This window comes from Homo sapiens, chromosome 17 (assembly GCF_000001405.40).
Source record: "Homo sapiens chromosome 17, GRCh38.p14 Primary Assembly".
Taxonomy (NCBI): domain Eukaryota; kingdom Metazoa; phylum Chordata; class Mammalia; order Primates; family Hominidae; genus Homo; species Homo sapiens.
In genome coordinates this window covers 3614640-3630676 of record NC_000017.11, presented here as the reverse complement: position 1 = coordinate 3630676, position 16037 = coordinate 3614640, and the positions used below count along the sequence as shown (strand labels likewise).

Here is a 16037-nt window from a genome sequence, read left to right as displayed (position 1 = left end):
TGTTTGGCTAGGCTGGTCTCGAACTCCTGACCTCAGGTGATCCACCCACCTTGGCCTCCCAAAGTGCTGGGATTATAGGCTTGAGCCACCAGTGCCTGGCCTTATTTCTTCTATTTATAGCACAGAGAATGCTGTTCTCAGCTGAGTCTGACCCCAGTGGAGGGCAGGCCCAGGCAGTTTGCTGCAACTCACCTGCAGCAGTGCCTCAACTGTGAAGTTAGGGAGTGGATGCTGCCCACTGCATTCCTCCTCCAGGACATCCCGGGAGGCCTGCGCCCCTCCCCCTGCCTGTGTGTCTGCCCCTGCCCATGTGTTCTCTTTTGCTTCCAGGGGCGGGAGCAGGATGTGAGTAGAATCCTCCAAGCCCTACACGAGTGCCTTGCTGCCCTTCCCCGACCCCAGCTCCGGAGCGTCGTGGGCATCGGGGTGTCGGGCCAGATGCATGGAGTCGTGTTTTGGAAAACAGGCCAAGGTATGCTGGGCTCGGGGATGCTCTCAGGCTGGTAGCAGTCACTTCCAGAACTAGAGCAGTGCTGTGCGGGGCTTTCTGTGAAGGGTCGGGTTATCCTGCAGTGGGAATAGGGTCTTGTTTCTTGGAGTGGACGAATACGTGCTGCCTCCTGCGTGGGTGAGCATTCTGTACCAATGTTAGGTGAACAAAGGAACTGCCCACTCCCACATCATCAGCACGTTATCCACGAACAGGCAGAGGGAAGAGAGTGTTTTCTCGGATTCTCCTGAAGGATTCAGCAGAGTGCATTTTCCATAGCTTTCTCTTTACCATGTCAGTATCTCAGAACATTAGTGCAGACAACCGAGAGACTGGCTATAGCTGCAGGAGATGCCAGGACATGGAGGGCATGCTTTTGAATTGGGGCACATTTGTCGTTGTTTACATATTTGTGATTTTGAAAATTCCAGGGCATATCTTTTTTTTTTTTTTTTTTTAAGGTGGAGTTTCACTCTTGTTACCCAGGCTGGAGTGCAGTGGCGCAAACTCAGCTCACTGCAACCTCTGCCTCCCGAGTTCAAGTGGTCTTCCTGCCTCAGCCTCCAGAGTAGCTGGGACTACAGGTGCCTGCCACCACGCCCAGCTAATTTTTGTATTTTTAGTAGAGACGGGGTTTCACCATGTTGGCCAGGCTGGTCTCGAACTCCTGACCTCAAATGATCCACCGGCAGCCTCCCAAAGTGCTGGGATTACAGGTGTGAGCCACCATGCCCGGCCGGCATATCCTTTTTATGGGTTCAGTTGCTAAGCATTTCTAGTTGGTTGTCTTATGAAGATCTGCCACAGTGCGGAGGTGGGTAACCTGTTCTATTTGGCCTTGAGGAGGAGAACCTAAGACAGTAAAACCACAATGAGCACTTCACATGCCTGGTGCCTGGCTGAGGACATCAGTTGCATGATCTCGTCGGATATTCCCAACAACCTGGTGACATAGATTACACTGTTGTCCCCATTGTGTGGATGAGAGGTTGAGGTTCAGAGAGGTTAGAATAATATGCTCAGGGTCATATTTCAGCAGGTGAACCCCACTTTTGAATCCAAGTCTGTCCGAGGAGCTTTTAAAGGCCTGGCAGGGTTGTTTTTGATGGAGGACCAGAGCTGCAAGGGGACACAGTGGCTCAGTGAGAGACTTCCCAGCAGAATGCCCAAGGATGAGGCTCCTGCAGGAAGTTGGGAGCTCCCTGTTATGGAAGGCATTAAAAAAACTTTTTAAGGCCGGGCATGGTGGCTCACACCTGTAAATCCCAACACTTTGGGAGGCCGAGGCAGGAGGAGTATTGCTTGAGGCCAGGAGTTCAAGACTAGCCTGGGCAACATAGTGGGACCCCATCTCTACAAAAGATGCAAAAATAAGTTGGGTGTGGTGCGACATGTTTATAGTCCCAGCTACTTGGGAGGCTGAGGTGAGAGGATCACTGGAGTCCTGGAGGTTGAGGCTGCAGTGAGCTGTGATTGCTCCACTGCACTCCAGCATGGGCTACAGAGCAAGACCCCGTCTCAGAAAGCAACGACAACAACAAATCAAACTTTAAAAGAAATTATATTGGCCAGGCACAATGGCTCACGCCTGTAATCCCAGCACTTTGGGAGGCTGAGGCGGGCAGATCACGAGGTCAGGAATTAGAGACCAGCCTGGCCAACATGGTGAAACCCCATCTCTACTAAAAATACAAAAATTAGCTGGGTGTGGTGGTGTGTGCCTATAATCCCAGCTACTTGGGAGGCTAAGGCAGGAAAATCACTTGAACCCGGGAGGCAGAGGTTGCAGTGAGCCGAGATCGCGCCACTGCACTCCAACCTGGGCGACAGAACAAGACTTCGTCTCAAAAAAAAAAAAAAGAAATTATGAAAGATTTAATTTAGACAAACAAAAATAGGGAGAACAGTACTGTGAACAGCATATACCCATCACTCAGCTTCAACAAAATCAACATTTTACTACAGATCAACATTTTAAGCAGAAGATGGACGGCTACTTTGGGGGGCTGTAGTTATGAGGATTTCAATATTGGATTCATCCCTCTCTACATGGAGAGTCGGCAATTTAGAGTGCCCTGAAGTGCACGGTGACCTGCCTGTCAGTGGGACTGGCATTTGGTGATGCACCGTTTAATCACTCCCAGGATGGGGCTGGGCAATCGTAGGAGCTGATGCAGGCTCTTCCTCCTCCCCTTCCTCCCTCCTGTCCGGCTATCATCAGACCCGCCGGGGCCGTGGGAGCTGCTTGGCACCGAGCAGTGGCGGGAGCAGAAGGCGATTAGGGTGTCAAGGCTAACCTCTCAGAGGGAGTCTAGGTTGTAAAAGCTTTTAAAACTCCTTAATTTTGCATTAATGAGAATAAATGTCCTTTTAATACTAAAACCCTTCCCAAAGAGGACAGCAGAGAGCTGATGATTGTGATCCGGTCACATGCCTTCCTTTCTGCCTGTCTCCTGGGCTCTCTAACAACCACACAAACCATCAGCCACATCGTTGGAAAGAGCTGCTTAATATTTTATTGAGCCAGCCCACATGCCTTCTGGGATTGTTTTCTGTTTCTGGGAAGGAGGAAAGCCACAGTGTGGTGATGGTGATACCTGCTTAGTGAAGTCAAGTGAAATCACATTTGGGATCCAGTCTTGTCGATTTTAATGGCAGCCTTAATTCACTTTGGTTTTCCTACCTACAACCTATAAAACGCTTTGCTAGGCCCTGGGGGAGAGATAGAAATGAAGGAATGCAGCCTCTACCTTCCAAAACACAGTCAACACAGATGGGCAGGAGTAACTTGAGCAGAGAGCTAAGTGCTTCAGTGAGGGCACCCGGAGCGAGCTGGAGGGGAGGAGACGGAGTGATTAGTGTCTTCTGAAAGGCCTGTGGTTACGCCTGTTTCCAAACTCCATTTTCAGGCTCAGTAAACGCAGAAGAGCAACCAGGATCATCAAAGAAAGCTAAAAGGCGAGCAGCAGACAGGGAGAAAATATCTGGTAGTGAATAGTGGACAAAGGACAGGTCAGCACGTGTAAAGAACCAGTAACTAAGAGAGAACAAGCAGCTCTGTGGAAAAACGGGTGAAGGATACCAATAGGTTACTCCTGGAAGAGGAAATACCAATGGCTGATAAACATCTGGAAAGATGTTCAGCATTGTTAGTCATTAGAGCTGTGCGGATGAAAACAACAAAGCATCATTTTCCACCCATTGGATGGTAAGAAATCAAAATGTTCCGTAATGTCGAGAGTTGGCAAAGGGAGTGGAAAACTGGTATTTTTTTTATTTTTTATTTTTTTTGAGATGGAGTCTTGCTCTTGTCACCCAGGCTGGAGTACAATGGAGCGATCTGGGCTCACTGCAACCTCTGCCTCCCAGATTCAAGTGATTCTCCTGCCTAAATTTCCCCTCCCAAGTAACTGTTACTACAGGCACCCGCCACCATGCCTGGCTATTTTTTTTTTTTTTTTTTTTGAGATGGAGTCTTGCTGTGTTGCCCAAGCTGGAGTGCAGTGGCGCAATCTCTGCTCACTGCAAGCTCTGCCTCCCAGGTTCACGCCATTCTCCTGCCTCAGCCTCCAGAGTAGCTGGGACTACAGGTACCCGCCATCACGCCCGGCTAATTTTTTTTTCGGTATTTTTAGCAGAGAAGGGGTTTCACCATGTTGGCCAGGCTGGCCTTGAACTCCTGACCTCAAGTGATCCACCCGCCTCATACTCCCAAAGTGCTGGGATTACAGGTGTGAGCCACTGCGCCCGATGAGCTAAGAGGTATTGAGGATACAAACAGAAGCACTAGCATCTAAATCATAAGAGACCAGAAAGGGAAAAATAAAAATGGAGAGGAGGAAATCTTTGAAGAAATAATGGAGAAAAATTTCCTATAATTGACAACATAAGATAGAACACCCCAGCCTGAAAGGGCCCATAGAATGTCAAAGAGGAGATAAAGACAACCCCCAGCTAGATATATTCTAGTGAACTTTTAAGGATTTCAAAGACAGAATTCCAAAAGCTTACAGAGCAAAAGATCAGATCCCATATGAAAGAATAAGGATCAGATTGACATTAGATTTTTTTCAACAGCAGCATTCTGTGTGAAAAGACAATGGAGTAGCATTTTTTTGTTTGTTTTGTTTTTCTGAGATGGAGCCTCACTCTGTTGCCCAGGCTGGAGTGCAGTGGTGCGATCTCAGCTCACTGCAACCTCCGCCTACTGGGTTCAAGCGATTCTCCTGCCTCAGCCTCCGGAGTAGCTGGGATTACAGGCACCCGCTACCACACCTGGCTAATTTTTGTATTTTTTGTAGAGATGGGGTTTCGCCATGTTGTCCAGGCTGGTCTCGAACTCCTCACCTCAGGTGATCCGCCCACCTTGGCCTCCCGAAGTGCTGGGATTATAGGCGTGAGCCACCGTGCCTGACCAGGAGTAGTATTTTGATGACCTATTGCGGCACAACAAACTACCTCCAACCTAGTGACTGAAAGCAACAAGCATTTATCATCTGTCATGATTTTTTGGGTCAGGGGTTGGGCAGGGCTCAGCCCACTGCTGCTTCTGCATGGTGGTGGTGGAGGTTGCTTGTTAGTGTTCAACTGGTGGACAGACTGGTCCAGGGGGTCACGGTGGCTTTACTCAATGCCTGGTACCTTGGTGGGAAGGCTGGAGGCTGGGCTCACCTGGAAACGGTCTGCCGGCTGCTCTTTGCCCGTGGTCTCCTCAGCATGGCGGCCTCGGCGTAGTCGCACTTCTTACCTGAAGGCTGATTCCCCCAGAGAGACTGGTGTAAGAGGCTTGGGCGGGAGCTGCAGTACTTCTTATGACCTAGCCTTGGGAGTCCCAAGATGTGACTGCCTCCACATTCTCCTGGTCAAGCACGTCACCAAGGTGATTCTATATTCAAGGAAAGAGGATTCAGATGCCACCTCTTAATGGGAGGAGTAGTGAAGAATTTGCAACAATCGACCACAAAAAGTGCTTTTAAGCATTGAAGGGAAGGAACTTAGAACCAGACTATTATAACTAATCAAACTGGCATTTAAAGATGGGAACATGAGAAATATTTGGTGGCATCTGGGCCTTCAGACACTGCCTGGAAAGACTGACACTGAAATTGGCCTTGGGAGAAATCACTGAATAAGGGCAGAGAAAAATCCAGAGGATGTCACAAGGCACAAATGAAAAAAAATCTGACGGTCAGATGATTTTAAAGTAAATTTGGATGTCTAAAAATCAATCAGGGCCAGGTGCGGTGGCTCATGCCTGTAATCCTAGCACTTTGGGAGGCTGAGGTGGGTGGATTGCCTGAGCTCAGGAGTTCGAGACCAGCCTGGGCAGCATGATGAAACCCTGTCTCTACTGAAAGTCCAAAAAATTAGCTGGGCGTGGTGGCGTGGGCCTGTAGTCTCAGCTACTCGGGAGGCTGAAGCAGGAGAATCGCTTGAACCTGGGAGATGGAGGTTGCAGTGAGCCGGGATCATGCCACTGCATTCCAACCTGGGGGACACAATGAGACTCTGTCTGAAAAAATTAAAATAAAATAAAATAAAATAAAACGCAATCAGCTAAGAACTAAGGAAAAGAGAAAATTTACTGGTAATCAAGTAGCAGTAAGCCTAGATAATGTCATGATGAGGGTTGGAGGGACAGAGACCAGGGGACTTGAGATTGTGCCAAACATCTTCTGAGATGTGGGGAGATATGATATCAACTTCAAAAAAGAATAAAAACAAACAGAGAAGTGGGGCAAATGGAGGGAGTATGTGACGTGCCCAGGGTCCCACAGTCATTATGTGGTAGAGCCAAGTACTAAAGCCAGTGCTATCAGGACCCATAGGTGTGCCAGGCTTTATCATGGGACGATTCGCACATATTTTGTCACTCACCAGCAGAGTAGTATCAAGGCCGCGCCATGCCTAGTCATTTGCTCTTTTCTTCATTTTTGGTCATCTCTTTTGTTCCAGGCTGTGAATGGACAGAGGGAGGGATTACCCCGGTGTTCGAGCCCCGAGCTGTTAGCCACCTGGTCACGTGGCAGGATGGCCGATGTAGCAGCGAATTCCTGGCCTCTCTGCCCCAGCCGAAGTCTCATCTCAGTGTGGCCACGGGCTTCGGCTGTGCAACCATCTTCTGGCTTTTGAAATATCGGTACGGGCAACTGCACTTTCACTCGGGTGCTGGGTTTCCGGGAGAATGAGAATAGGCCGGGGCTGCGTCAGCATCACCCCGCCTGCTGGGCTGTGCCGCAGTGAGTGTGTCCTGGCAGGACAGGATGCAGCATGGCCTGGACCTCGATTGGGTCCAGAACCACGTCCTTTTGCAGAGGGCTCTCTATTGGTTATCCAGTTCCCACCCACATAGGGAAAGGAGGGAACAGAGAGGGCAAGTGACTTGCCGAGGGTCACGGGGAGAGTTCGCAGTGTGTTCAGGCCTGCGAGGCTGCTGAGGAGGCTGACGTCTGCTTTTCCAGGCTTGACACTTCCTCCTCTCAGGCCCTTCCCCTGGGGCTGACTTAGGCTGGCTTTGCTTGGGGCAGCTGGGAGGTCCTAATCCCAGGGACCCAGCTGGACTTGAGCCATAGTATATGCGGTTGTGGCTGCCACCTGGCCATGGCACAGCTGGTCCCTGCTGCCTGCAGCTAGGTGCGGCACATGCTTCCGAGTTCATGTTATACCGTGTTGGTTGTTTTTGGTATGAAAAACAGCCCAGAGTTCCTGAAGTCCTACGACGCAGCCGGTACCATCCACGACTATGTGGTTGCCATGCTGTGTGGCTTGCCAAGACCTCTGATGTCCGACCAGAATGCTGCCAGCTGGGGCTATTTCAACACGCAGAGCCAAAGCTGGAACGTAGAGACGTGAGTATCACATCCTTGCAGGCTGTTCCTCCTGCTCCAATCTGAAGGGCAACCCCGGAGCCAGTGCTTCAGTGGGTGCTTTCCCATCTGGGAGTGGTGGAGGGTTCCCAGAGGCCAGGATCAGGGTCCAGTGCCCCTGGCCTGTCCCAGACACGGGGCATGGATGGGCCCAGTGTAAGCACAGCCCTGAGCCCTTGGGTAGGGGCCTCAGCCATGCTGTCCTGCTCCTCCACAGCCGCCCAGACCCCAGGTGGGCTCTCCCTTCTCTGTGACCATGAGCCCAGTCTGTAGGTTTCAGAGTACAGCTTTCACTCTTTAATACTTAAACTTAGAGAGCCAGGCGCGGTGGCTCATGCCTGTAATCCCAGCACTTTGGGAGGCTGAGGCGGGTGAATCACCTGAGGTCAGGAGTTCGAGACCAGCCTGGGCAACATGGCGAAACCCCATCTCTACTAAAAATACAAAAATTAGCTGGGCGTGGTGGAGTGCGCCTGTAATCCCAGCTACTCTGGAGGCTGAGGCAGGAGAATCACTTGAACCTGGGAGGCGGAGGTTGCGGTGAGCCGAGATTGCACCACGGCACTCCAGCCTGGGGGACAGAGCGAGACTCTTGTCTCAAAAAAAAAAAAAAAGAAAAAAGAACTAGAGATAGTAGGCTTGAAGGATGCCTTTTAAGTTCTTTTTGAACAATCATTTGCCTTTTCAGGTACAGAAGTCCAGTGCCCTGTAAGTTCACTTCCTTCAGGGCCCAAATTCTGAGCTCTGAAATAAAACAAAAAGCACCTGGTAGTTCAGGTAAAGGACTTTCCAGCATGTTGTGTGAAGTTGACAGCTTCCCATTCACTAACCCTGAGTGACTAACACGTTTGATATTCAGGAGCCTGCTGCATTTGACTTTGGTTTGGGCTGTGCTCACCAACCATAATGGCGCCGAACCTCCGGCTGCCTCCCTTTGCAGAGTTTTTGAGCTCCCTTCAAACATGGGAGGCTGGACTTGATCACGGCTGCCTATGTTGTTTGTTTTCTTTCCTGGAAGGTGAATCCTAAGCTTATGAAAGCCAGTGTACTCTATTGACAAAGCCTAAGCTCATGGTTTTAAAAAAGCCAGAGAAGCTGCCTGTGAGGGCACTGAATTCTATCCCCACTTCGGCCATGTGTGTCCTATAGCACTTTCCCATGCAGAGTTTCCTGGAAACAAACAAACAACAACAAAAAAGGAAAGCAGCTGGGTGTGGTGGTGCAGGCCTGTAATCCCAGCTGCTTGGGAGGCTGAGGTGGGAGAATTGCTTGAGCCTGGGAGGTTGAGGTTACAGTGAGCAGTGATCACACCACTCCACTCCAGCCTGGGTAACAGAGCTAGACCCTGTCTCAAAAAAAGAAAGAAGGAGCCGGGTGTGGTGGGTCGCGCCTGTAATCCCAGCACTTTGGGAGGCTGAAGCGGGTGAACGATGTGAGGTCAGGAGTTCGAGACCAGCCTGGCCAAGATGGCGAAACCCCGTCTCTACTAAAAATACAAAAATTAGCTGGGCATGGTGGTGTGCGCCTGTAATCCCAGCTATTAGGGAGGCTGAGGCAGGAGAATTGCTTGAACCTGGGAGGTGGAGGTTGCAGTGAGCTGAGATGGTGCCACTGCACTCCAGCCTGGGCAACAGAGCAAGACTCCATCTCAAAAAAATAAATAAGTAAAAAAGAAAGAAAGAAGGAAGGAAGGAAGGAAGGGAGGGAGGGAGGGAGGGAAGGAATGGAGAGAAGGAGGAAAGGAAGGGAGGGAAAGAGGGAAGGAGTAAAGAGAAGGGAGGGAGGGAGGAAAGGAAAGGAAGAAGGGAGGGAGGAATGGAGAGAAGGAAGGGAGGAAGGAAGGAAGGATCCCTTAAATTCCCGAAACCTAACTGTGGGTCCATGTGGGTGTCCACTTCTGTTTTACAGACTGAGGAGCTCGGGTTTTCCTGTCCACCTGCTCCCAGACATCGCCGAGCCTGGCAGTGTGGCGGGCAGAACTTCCCACATGTGGTTTGAAATCCCAAAGGGGACGCAGGTGGGAGTGGCCTTGGGTGATTTACAGGCCTCTGTCTATTCCTGCATGGCCCAGAGGACAGATGCAGGTAAGTTTTTCTTTTGTTCTGTCCTCAGACTTACACTGTCGCCTGCCTCATAAGCACCAGCTCTGTGCGAGTCTGCAGGGCACACAGAGCTTAGCAGTCTTGGCATCCTGCTGGAGATCATTATTCTGTAAAGATGAAAAGCACCCTTGTCCTTGCAGGTAAAATCCTCTATTGAGGGAGCTTACAGGCCAGCAGGGCAAGTTCTGTCCCTGAGCACCAACCATCTGTGCTGACCACCTCTGGGGCTGGGTGAGAGAAACGGCTCTTTCTAGCTTTCTGGTTTCTATGTGACTCCGGGCCCAAGAAAACAGATGAGCTGATGAGGGTTTTGGTTACTGTGTTGGAAGTGATGTCAGATCTGATTAGAAGTGCAGGATAGGCTGGGCGCGGTGGCTCACGCCTGTAATCCCAGCACTTTGGGAGGCCGAGGCAGGCGGATCACGAGGTCAGGAGTTCAAGACCAGCCTGGCCAAGATGGTGAAACCCTGTCTCTACTAAAAATACCAAAATTAGCCAGGTGTGGTGGTGGGTGCCTGTAATCCCAGCTACTCAGGAGGCTGAGGCAGAGAATCGCTTGAACCCGGGAGGCGGAGGTTTCAGTGAGCTGAGATCACATCACTGCACTCCAGCCTGACGACAGAGCGAGACTCCATCTCAAAACAAAACAAAACGGCCGGGCGCAGTGGCTCATGCCTGTAATCCCAGCACTTTGGGAGGCCAAGGCAGGTGGATCACGAGGTCAGGAGATCGAGACCATCCTGGCTAACACGGTGAAACCCCATCTGTATTAAAAAAAAAAATAGAAAAAATTAGCCAGGCATAGTGATGGGCGCCTGTAGTCCCAGCTACTTGGGAGGCTGAGGCAGGAGAATGGTGTGAACCCGGAAGGCAGAGCTTGCAGTGAGCCGAGATCGTGCCACTGCACTCCGGCCTGGGCGACAGAGCAAGACTCTGTCTCAAAAAAAAAAAAAGAAGTGTAGAATATTTTCTGTATTCATAGTAAGGGAATCATGGTGAGGTAGAGGCAGCTGTGTCTAGGGCAGGGATTGGCTCTTTTACTCTAAAGGGCAGAAAATATTTTCTGTAAATATTTTCGGCTTTGCGGATCATGCCGTCTCTGTTGTAACTGCTCAGCTGTGCTGTAGGAATTCAAAAGCAGCCATAGACGATATGTAAATGAGCGGGTGTAGCTGTGTTCCAATAAAACATTGTTCATAGACACTGAAATGGGAATGCCACATAATTTTCATGTGTCATGAAAAATTCTTCTTTTAATTTTTTTTCAACCATTTAAAAACGTGAGAACGTGGGACGATATGGCGCTTGGCGGCGCTGGGAGGCCGGAGCCCAGGGCTCGTGGCCATGTTGTCAGGTGCTCACAGGTAGACAGCAGAGGAGAGGAACCAAGCTATACTCAATCTTAAAGCAGCAGGATGGTCAGAATTAAGTGAGAGAGAGATGCCATCTACAAATCATTCTTCTTCCAAATTTTTTTTTTTTTTTTGAGATGGAGTCTCACTCTGTCGCCCAGGCTGGAGTGCAGTGGTGTGATCTCGGCTCACTGCAATCTCTGCCTCTGGGGTTCAAGCGATTCTCCTGCCTTGTCCTCCCGAGTAGATGGGACTACAGGCGCACACCACCATGGCTGGTTAATGTTTGCATTTTTAGTAGACACGGGGTTTCACCATGTTGGCCAGGATGGTCTCAATCTCTTCACCTTGTGATCTGCCTGCCTTGGCCTCCCAAAGTGCTGGGATTACAGGTGTGAGCCATCGTGCCCGGCCTCTCCGTCCAAATTTTTAATCAGGCATTTGGCTTTATGTCCCGAGTTGCCCTACAAGCAGAGAAGATGAATCATCACCCGGAATGGTTCAATGTATAAAACAAGGTCCAGATAACTCTCACCTCACGTAACTGTGGTGGACTGATCAAAAGAGATGTGAAGCTGGCCACGTTTATTGAAAAAGCAGCTTCTTCTGTGTGATTTCTTCCAAAATACATGTAAAATCTTACACACATCTTAGCTGCAACGTAGGCTGAAGGCAATTTACGTGAACAAATTGAGTTGTTCTTAAGGCATCATCTCTAGAGGCAGAAAAAAAAATAACAATTTAAGTTATGTAAATTTAGTTTGCCTTTATATACTATGTTTTGTAAAATCAGTGCTTATATACAAAATGATTAAACTTGAAAAAAAAAAAGTGAGAACATGCTAGTGGGATTGTAAAAAGGTACGGCCTCTTTGGAAAACAGCTGGTAGTTCCTCAAATGTTAAACGTGGAGTTACCACAGGCCCCAGCAATTCTGCTCCTAGAAATACACCCAGGAGAACTGAAAACAAATGATATCCACACAAAAAGTTGTACACAGATGTTCACAGCAGCATTACTTATAATAGCCAAAAAGTATAAACCATCTAAATGTCTGTCAACTAATGAATGAATTTTTTTTTTTTTTGAGATGGAGTCTTGTTCTCTCACCCAGGCTGGAGTGCAGTGGCACAATCTCAGCTCACTGCAACCTCCGCCTCCTGAGTTCAAGTGATTCTCCTGCCTCAGTCTCCCAAGTAGCTGAGACTACAGGCGCACGCCACCACACCCAGCTAATTTTTGTATTTTTAGTAGAGACAGGGTTTCACCATGTTGGCCAGGATGGTCTCGATCTCTTGACCTTGTGATCCACCTGCCTCGGCCTCCTAAAGTGCTGGGATTACAGGCGTGAGCCACTGTGCCCAGCCATGAATGAATTTTTATAATGTGGTATATACACATAGCTAAAAAAGGATTGAATGTTGGATAGAAGAAGTACATTTAAATTTTAAAAAGTTTATTTGGCTGGGTGCGGTGGCTTACACCTGTAATCCCCGCACTTTGGGAGGCTGAGGTGGGTGGATCATGAGGTCAGGAGTTCAAGACCAGCTTGGCCAAGATGGTGAAAACCCATCTCTACTAAAAATACAAAAAATTAGCCAGGTGTGGTGGTGGGCACCTGTAATCCCAGCTACTCGGGAGGCTGAGGCAGAGAATTGCTTGAATCCAGGAGGCAGAAGTTGCTGTGAGCTGAGATCGCGCCAGTGCACTCCAGCCTGGGCAACAGAGTGAGACTCTGTCTCAAAAACAAACAAACAAACAAAGAGTTTATTTGAAGATGCAGTGATTTGTGAATCATGGTAGCACCAGACTCCTAGCACTCTGCCAGGAGAGGCAAGAGGGGAAATTTTCATAAAGTATTTGCAGAAGCAAGACAAAACAATTTTGATAGGGCAGACAAAGCATTTTTTATGCCAAACAGGGATATCTTTCATTATTGCTCTGAGCTCAAGATTTTGACGAAGGCATAAGAATGCTTAAAAAGCAGATCTGGTTAATCTGAGAGCCTGACTTTTATAAACAGTTATCTAGTTCTCCTTTTTAATTTTTTTTTGACTTTGGGGTAGGAGGTAAACAGGCAAAAATGTCAGCAGATTCAGTGTAGGGAGAGGAAGGTACAAAGAAAGAGAGGTCAGAAACTTTTACCTGCCAATCAAAAATATATCCCATTGTTTCTGAGGTGTTTGGAATTGTTTGTTTGTTTGTTTAGGTTAAAACTTCCTTATGTGGCCACCAAAATTCTAAATTATTTTTGGTAAGATTCACTCATTTATCTAGAAAAGCAAATGTTCTGAGATGGAGTCTCAGACTCCCTGAATTTAAGTAAACCCATTATTTTCTGTCTTCCTGGAACCTTTTCTACTGGAGGTCTTTTACTAAACCCAATTTAGTTTCTGTCTGACCCAGTTGGACACCTGAAGCTTCCCTTCAGCACCTGTTCCAGTTTCTGTCATGGCTTCCAAACCCAGTCCAGATTTAAAAATGCCCAAATAACTCAGTGAACTCAACACAAGTTGTGGAGTTCATATGTCCAAGAGGGCTTACTGGAGAAGGCCTCCCAATGTGCAGCAGGAAGCAGTGAGTGCCAAGGCTCAGTGGGTACTTATGCCCGTTTGCTTGTTGCTCCCAGAGGTCATCGTGAGGTGGGTGGGTTCAGATCCCACTTACGACACCAGATCTGATTAAAGAAAAACTTGGCCGGGTGCATTGGCTCACACCTGTAATCCCAGCACTTTGGGAGGCTGAGGTGGGCAGATCACTTGAGGCCAGGAGTTCGAGACCAGCCTGGCCAACATGGTGAAACCCCATCTCTACTAAAAATATAAAAATTAGCTGGGCACAGTGGCGGGCACCTGTAATCCCAGCACTTTGGGAGGCCGAGGCAGGTGGATCACGAGGTCAGGAGTTCGAGACCAGCCTGGCCAACATGGTGAAACCCCACCTCTAATAAAAATACAAAAAATTAGCTGGGCGTGGTGGCGCATGCCTGTAATCCCAGCTACTTGGGAGGCTGAGGCAGGAGAGTCACTTGAACCTGGGAGGCAGAGGTTGCATGAGCGAAGATCGCGCCATTGCACTCCAGACTGGGTGACAGAGCAAAACTCTGTCTGAAAAACAAAAGCAAAAACAAAAGCAACAACAAAAAGAATACTTTGGAAATGAGCAAGAGTAGTATTCACTGCCAATGAATGAAACCTCCTCAGAGACTAAAGCCCTTGGTCTGAGGTCTTACCCTGTCATAGTTTTCTTTTGCTGTGTAACAAATTACCCTAATACATAGTAGCCTAAAACAACAGACATTTATTATTTTGGACAGTTTCTGAGGGTCAGGATTCTGAGTGGGGTGGGATGTCCTGGCTCAAGGTCTCTCGTGAGGTTGCATTCACTCTGGAGCTGCAGTCTTCCAAAGGCTTGATTGAGCCTGGAGGATCTGCCTCTGAGCCCACGCTTGATGCTGTTGGTAGAAGGCCTCAGTTCCCTGGCACGTGAGGTTCTCCACAGGGCTGCTCACGACGTGGCACCTGCCTTCCCCGAGAGCAAGTGATCCACAAGACAGCGTGACCGAGATAGGAGTCGCAGTGCCTTTTATGACTTAGCCTCTGAAGGCACACACTGTCTCTTGTGCTTTATTTTGTTCACTAGAAGTGAGTCACTAAGTCCAGCCCACTCTCACGTGGAGGGGAATCAGGTTCTACCTCTTGAAAGGAGGAGTATCGGCCGGGCACGGTGGCTCACACCTGTAATCCGAACACTTTGGGAGGCCGAGGTGGGTGGATCATGAGGTCAGGAGTTCGAGACCATCCTGGCCAAGATGGTGAAACCCCATCTCTACTAAAAATAAAAAAATTAGCCAGGCGTGGTAGTGGGTACCTGTAATCGCAGCTACTTGAGAGGTTGAGGCAGAGAATTGCTTGAACCTGGGAGGTGGAGGTTGTAGTGAGCCAAGATCGCACCATTGCACTCCAGCCTGGGTGACAGAGCGAGACTCTGTCTCAAAAAAAAAAAAAAAAAAAAAATTCCTTTGATCAACATCTCTTCAACACCTTGCCCTTCTAACTATCCTGGACATATTTTTAAAACCCCACCCTCTCTCAGTGCCAAATTGTGACTTGTGACCTCTGAGTTAGCCCGACAGGCCACCCCCTCTCACTGCCAAACTGTGACTTGTGACCTCTGAGTTAGCCTGACAGGCCACCCCCTCTCACTGCCAAACTGTGACTTGTGACCTCTGAGTTAACCCGACAGGCCACCCCCTCTCACTGCCAAACTGTGACTTGTGACCTCTGAGTTAGCCCGACAGGCCTAAGCTCTGCTCTCTTCGGACCCCAGTTCTCAACATCAGCACCTCGGTTCAGCTGGCAGCCTCCATGCCTTCAGGATTCCAGCCTGCACAGACTCCAGACCCTACGGCCCCAGTCGCCTACTTCCCATACTTCAACAGGACCTACCTGGGGGTGGCCGCGTCACTCAACGGGGGCAATGTGCTGGCCACGTTCGTCCACATGCTGGTTCAGTGGATGGCAGATCTAGGTAAGGTGTGGCCCACACAGCGCTGTGTTCTCTGCCTGTCCTTTCTACCCGGCAGGGTCTCGGAGCTTCACGGAGCTTCATGTGCGGTTTCAGCGTCCACATTGAGGTCTCAGACCCTGCCAGGTCCTGGCATATTTCTCCCATCCTTTGGGATCTGAGCTTGCAGCCTCTTTTCTTCTTGTCCTCCAAGCTGCCATCACCTACTCTTTTCTTTGGGTCAGGCACCCTTCCCCCAACCTTGACTGTGAACCTTCCTAACAGTCTCCCCAGCTTTCCCCCGCCCTCCCTGCTCCCTCTTTTCTCCTCCTGCTCCTTTCTCTTATCCTTGGGGTAGAATTTATGAAGTTTTCTCTGCTCTCCATGGACAGTTGCTCCTTGACTTACAATGGTGCGTATTTCACTTACAATGCACTTATATCCTGAGAAGCCTGGCCATAGGAAGTGCGATGCAGGCTTTTCTTCTTCTTCTTCTTCTTTTTTTTTTTTTTTGAGACGGAGTCTCGCTCTGTCACCCAGGCTGGAGTGCAGTGGCGCGATCTCGGCTCACTGCAAACTCCGCCTCCCAGGTTCAAGGGATTCTCCTGCCTCAGCCTTCCGAGTAGCTGGGATTACAGGCATGCGCCACCACGCCTGGCAAATTTTTGTCTTTTTACTAGAGATGGGGTTTTGCCATGTTGGCCAGGCTGGTCTTGAACTC

General features: G+C 49.3%; 1 protein-coding gene and 1 pseudogene across 1 annotated transcript in view, besides 1 other annotated feature; both read left to right on the top strand.

Moving 5' to 3' along the window:
- The window catches only part of SHPK (sedoheptulokinase), a 28011-nt gene that overhangs the window by 5574 nt on the left and 6400 nt on the right, over positions 1–16037 (top strand). Inside the window, exons 2-6 of the mRNA NM_013276.4 lie at positions 331–472; positions 6446–6629; positions 7186–7338; positions 9265–9440; positions 15140–15340. Of these exons, the coding sequence (NP_037408.2) occupies positions 331–472; positions 6446–6629; positions 7186–7338; positions 9265–9440; positions 15140–15340 (856 nt within the window). The remainder of the gene's footprint in view (positions 1–330; positions 473–6445; positions 6630–7185; positions 7339–9264; positions 9441–15139; positions 15341–16037) is intronic.
- Positions 5877–7076: an enhancer, noted in NCBI's record as "MED14-independent group 3 enhancer chr17:3526895-3528094 (GRCh37/hg19 assembly coordinates)". NCBI's record gives its function as "activates an origin of replication core promoter dependent on BRD2, BRD4, P300/CBP and CDK7 cofactors, and independent of MED14, by STARR-seq in HCT116 cells {active_cell/tissue: HCT116}" and the evidence as "EXISTENCE:reporter gene assay evidence [ECO:0000049][PMID:35650434]".
- LOC100422717 (pterin-4 alpha-carbinolamine dehydratase 2 pseudogene) lies at positions 10749–11613 on the top strand (annotated as a pseudogene).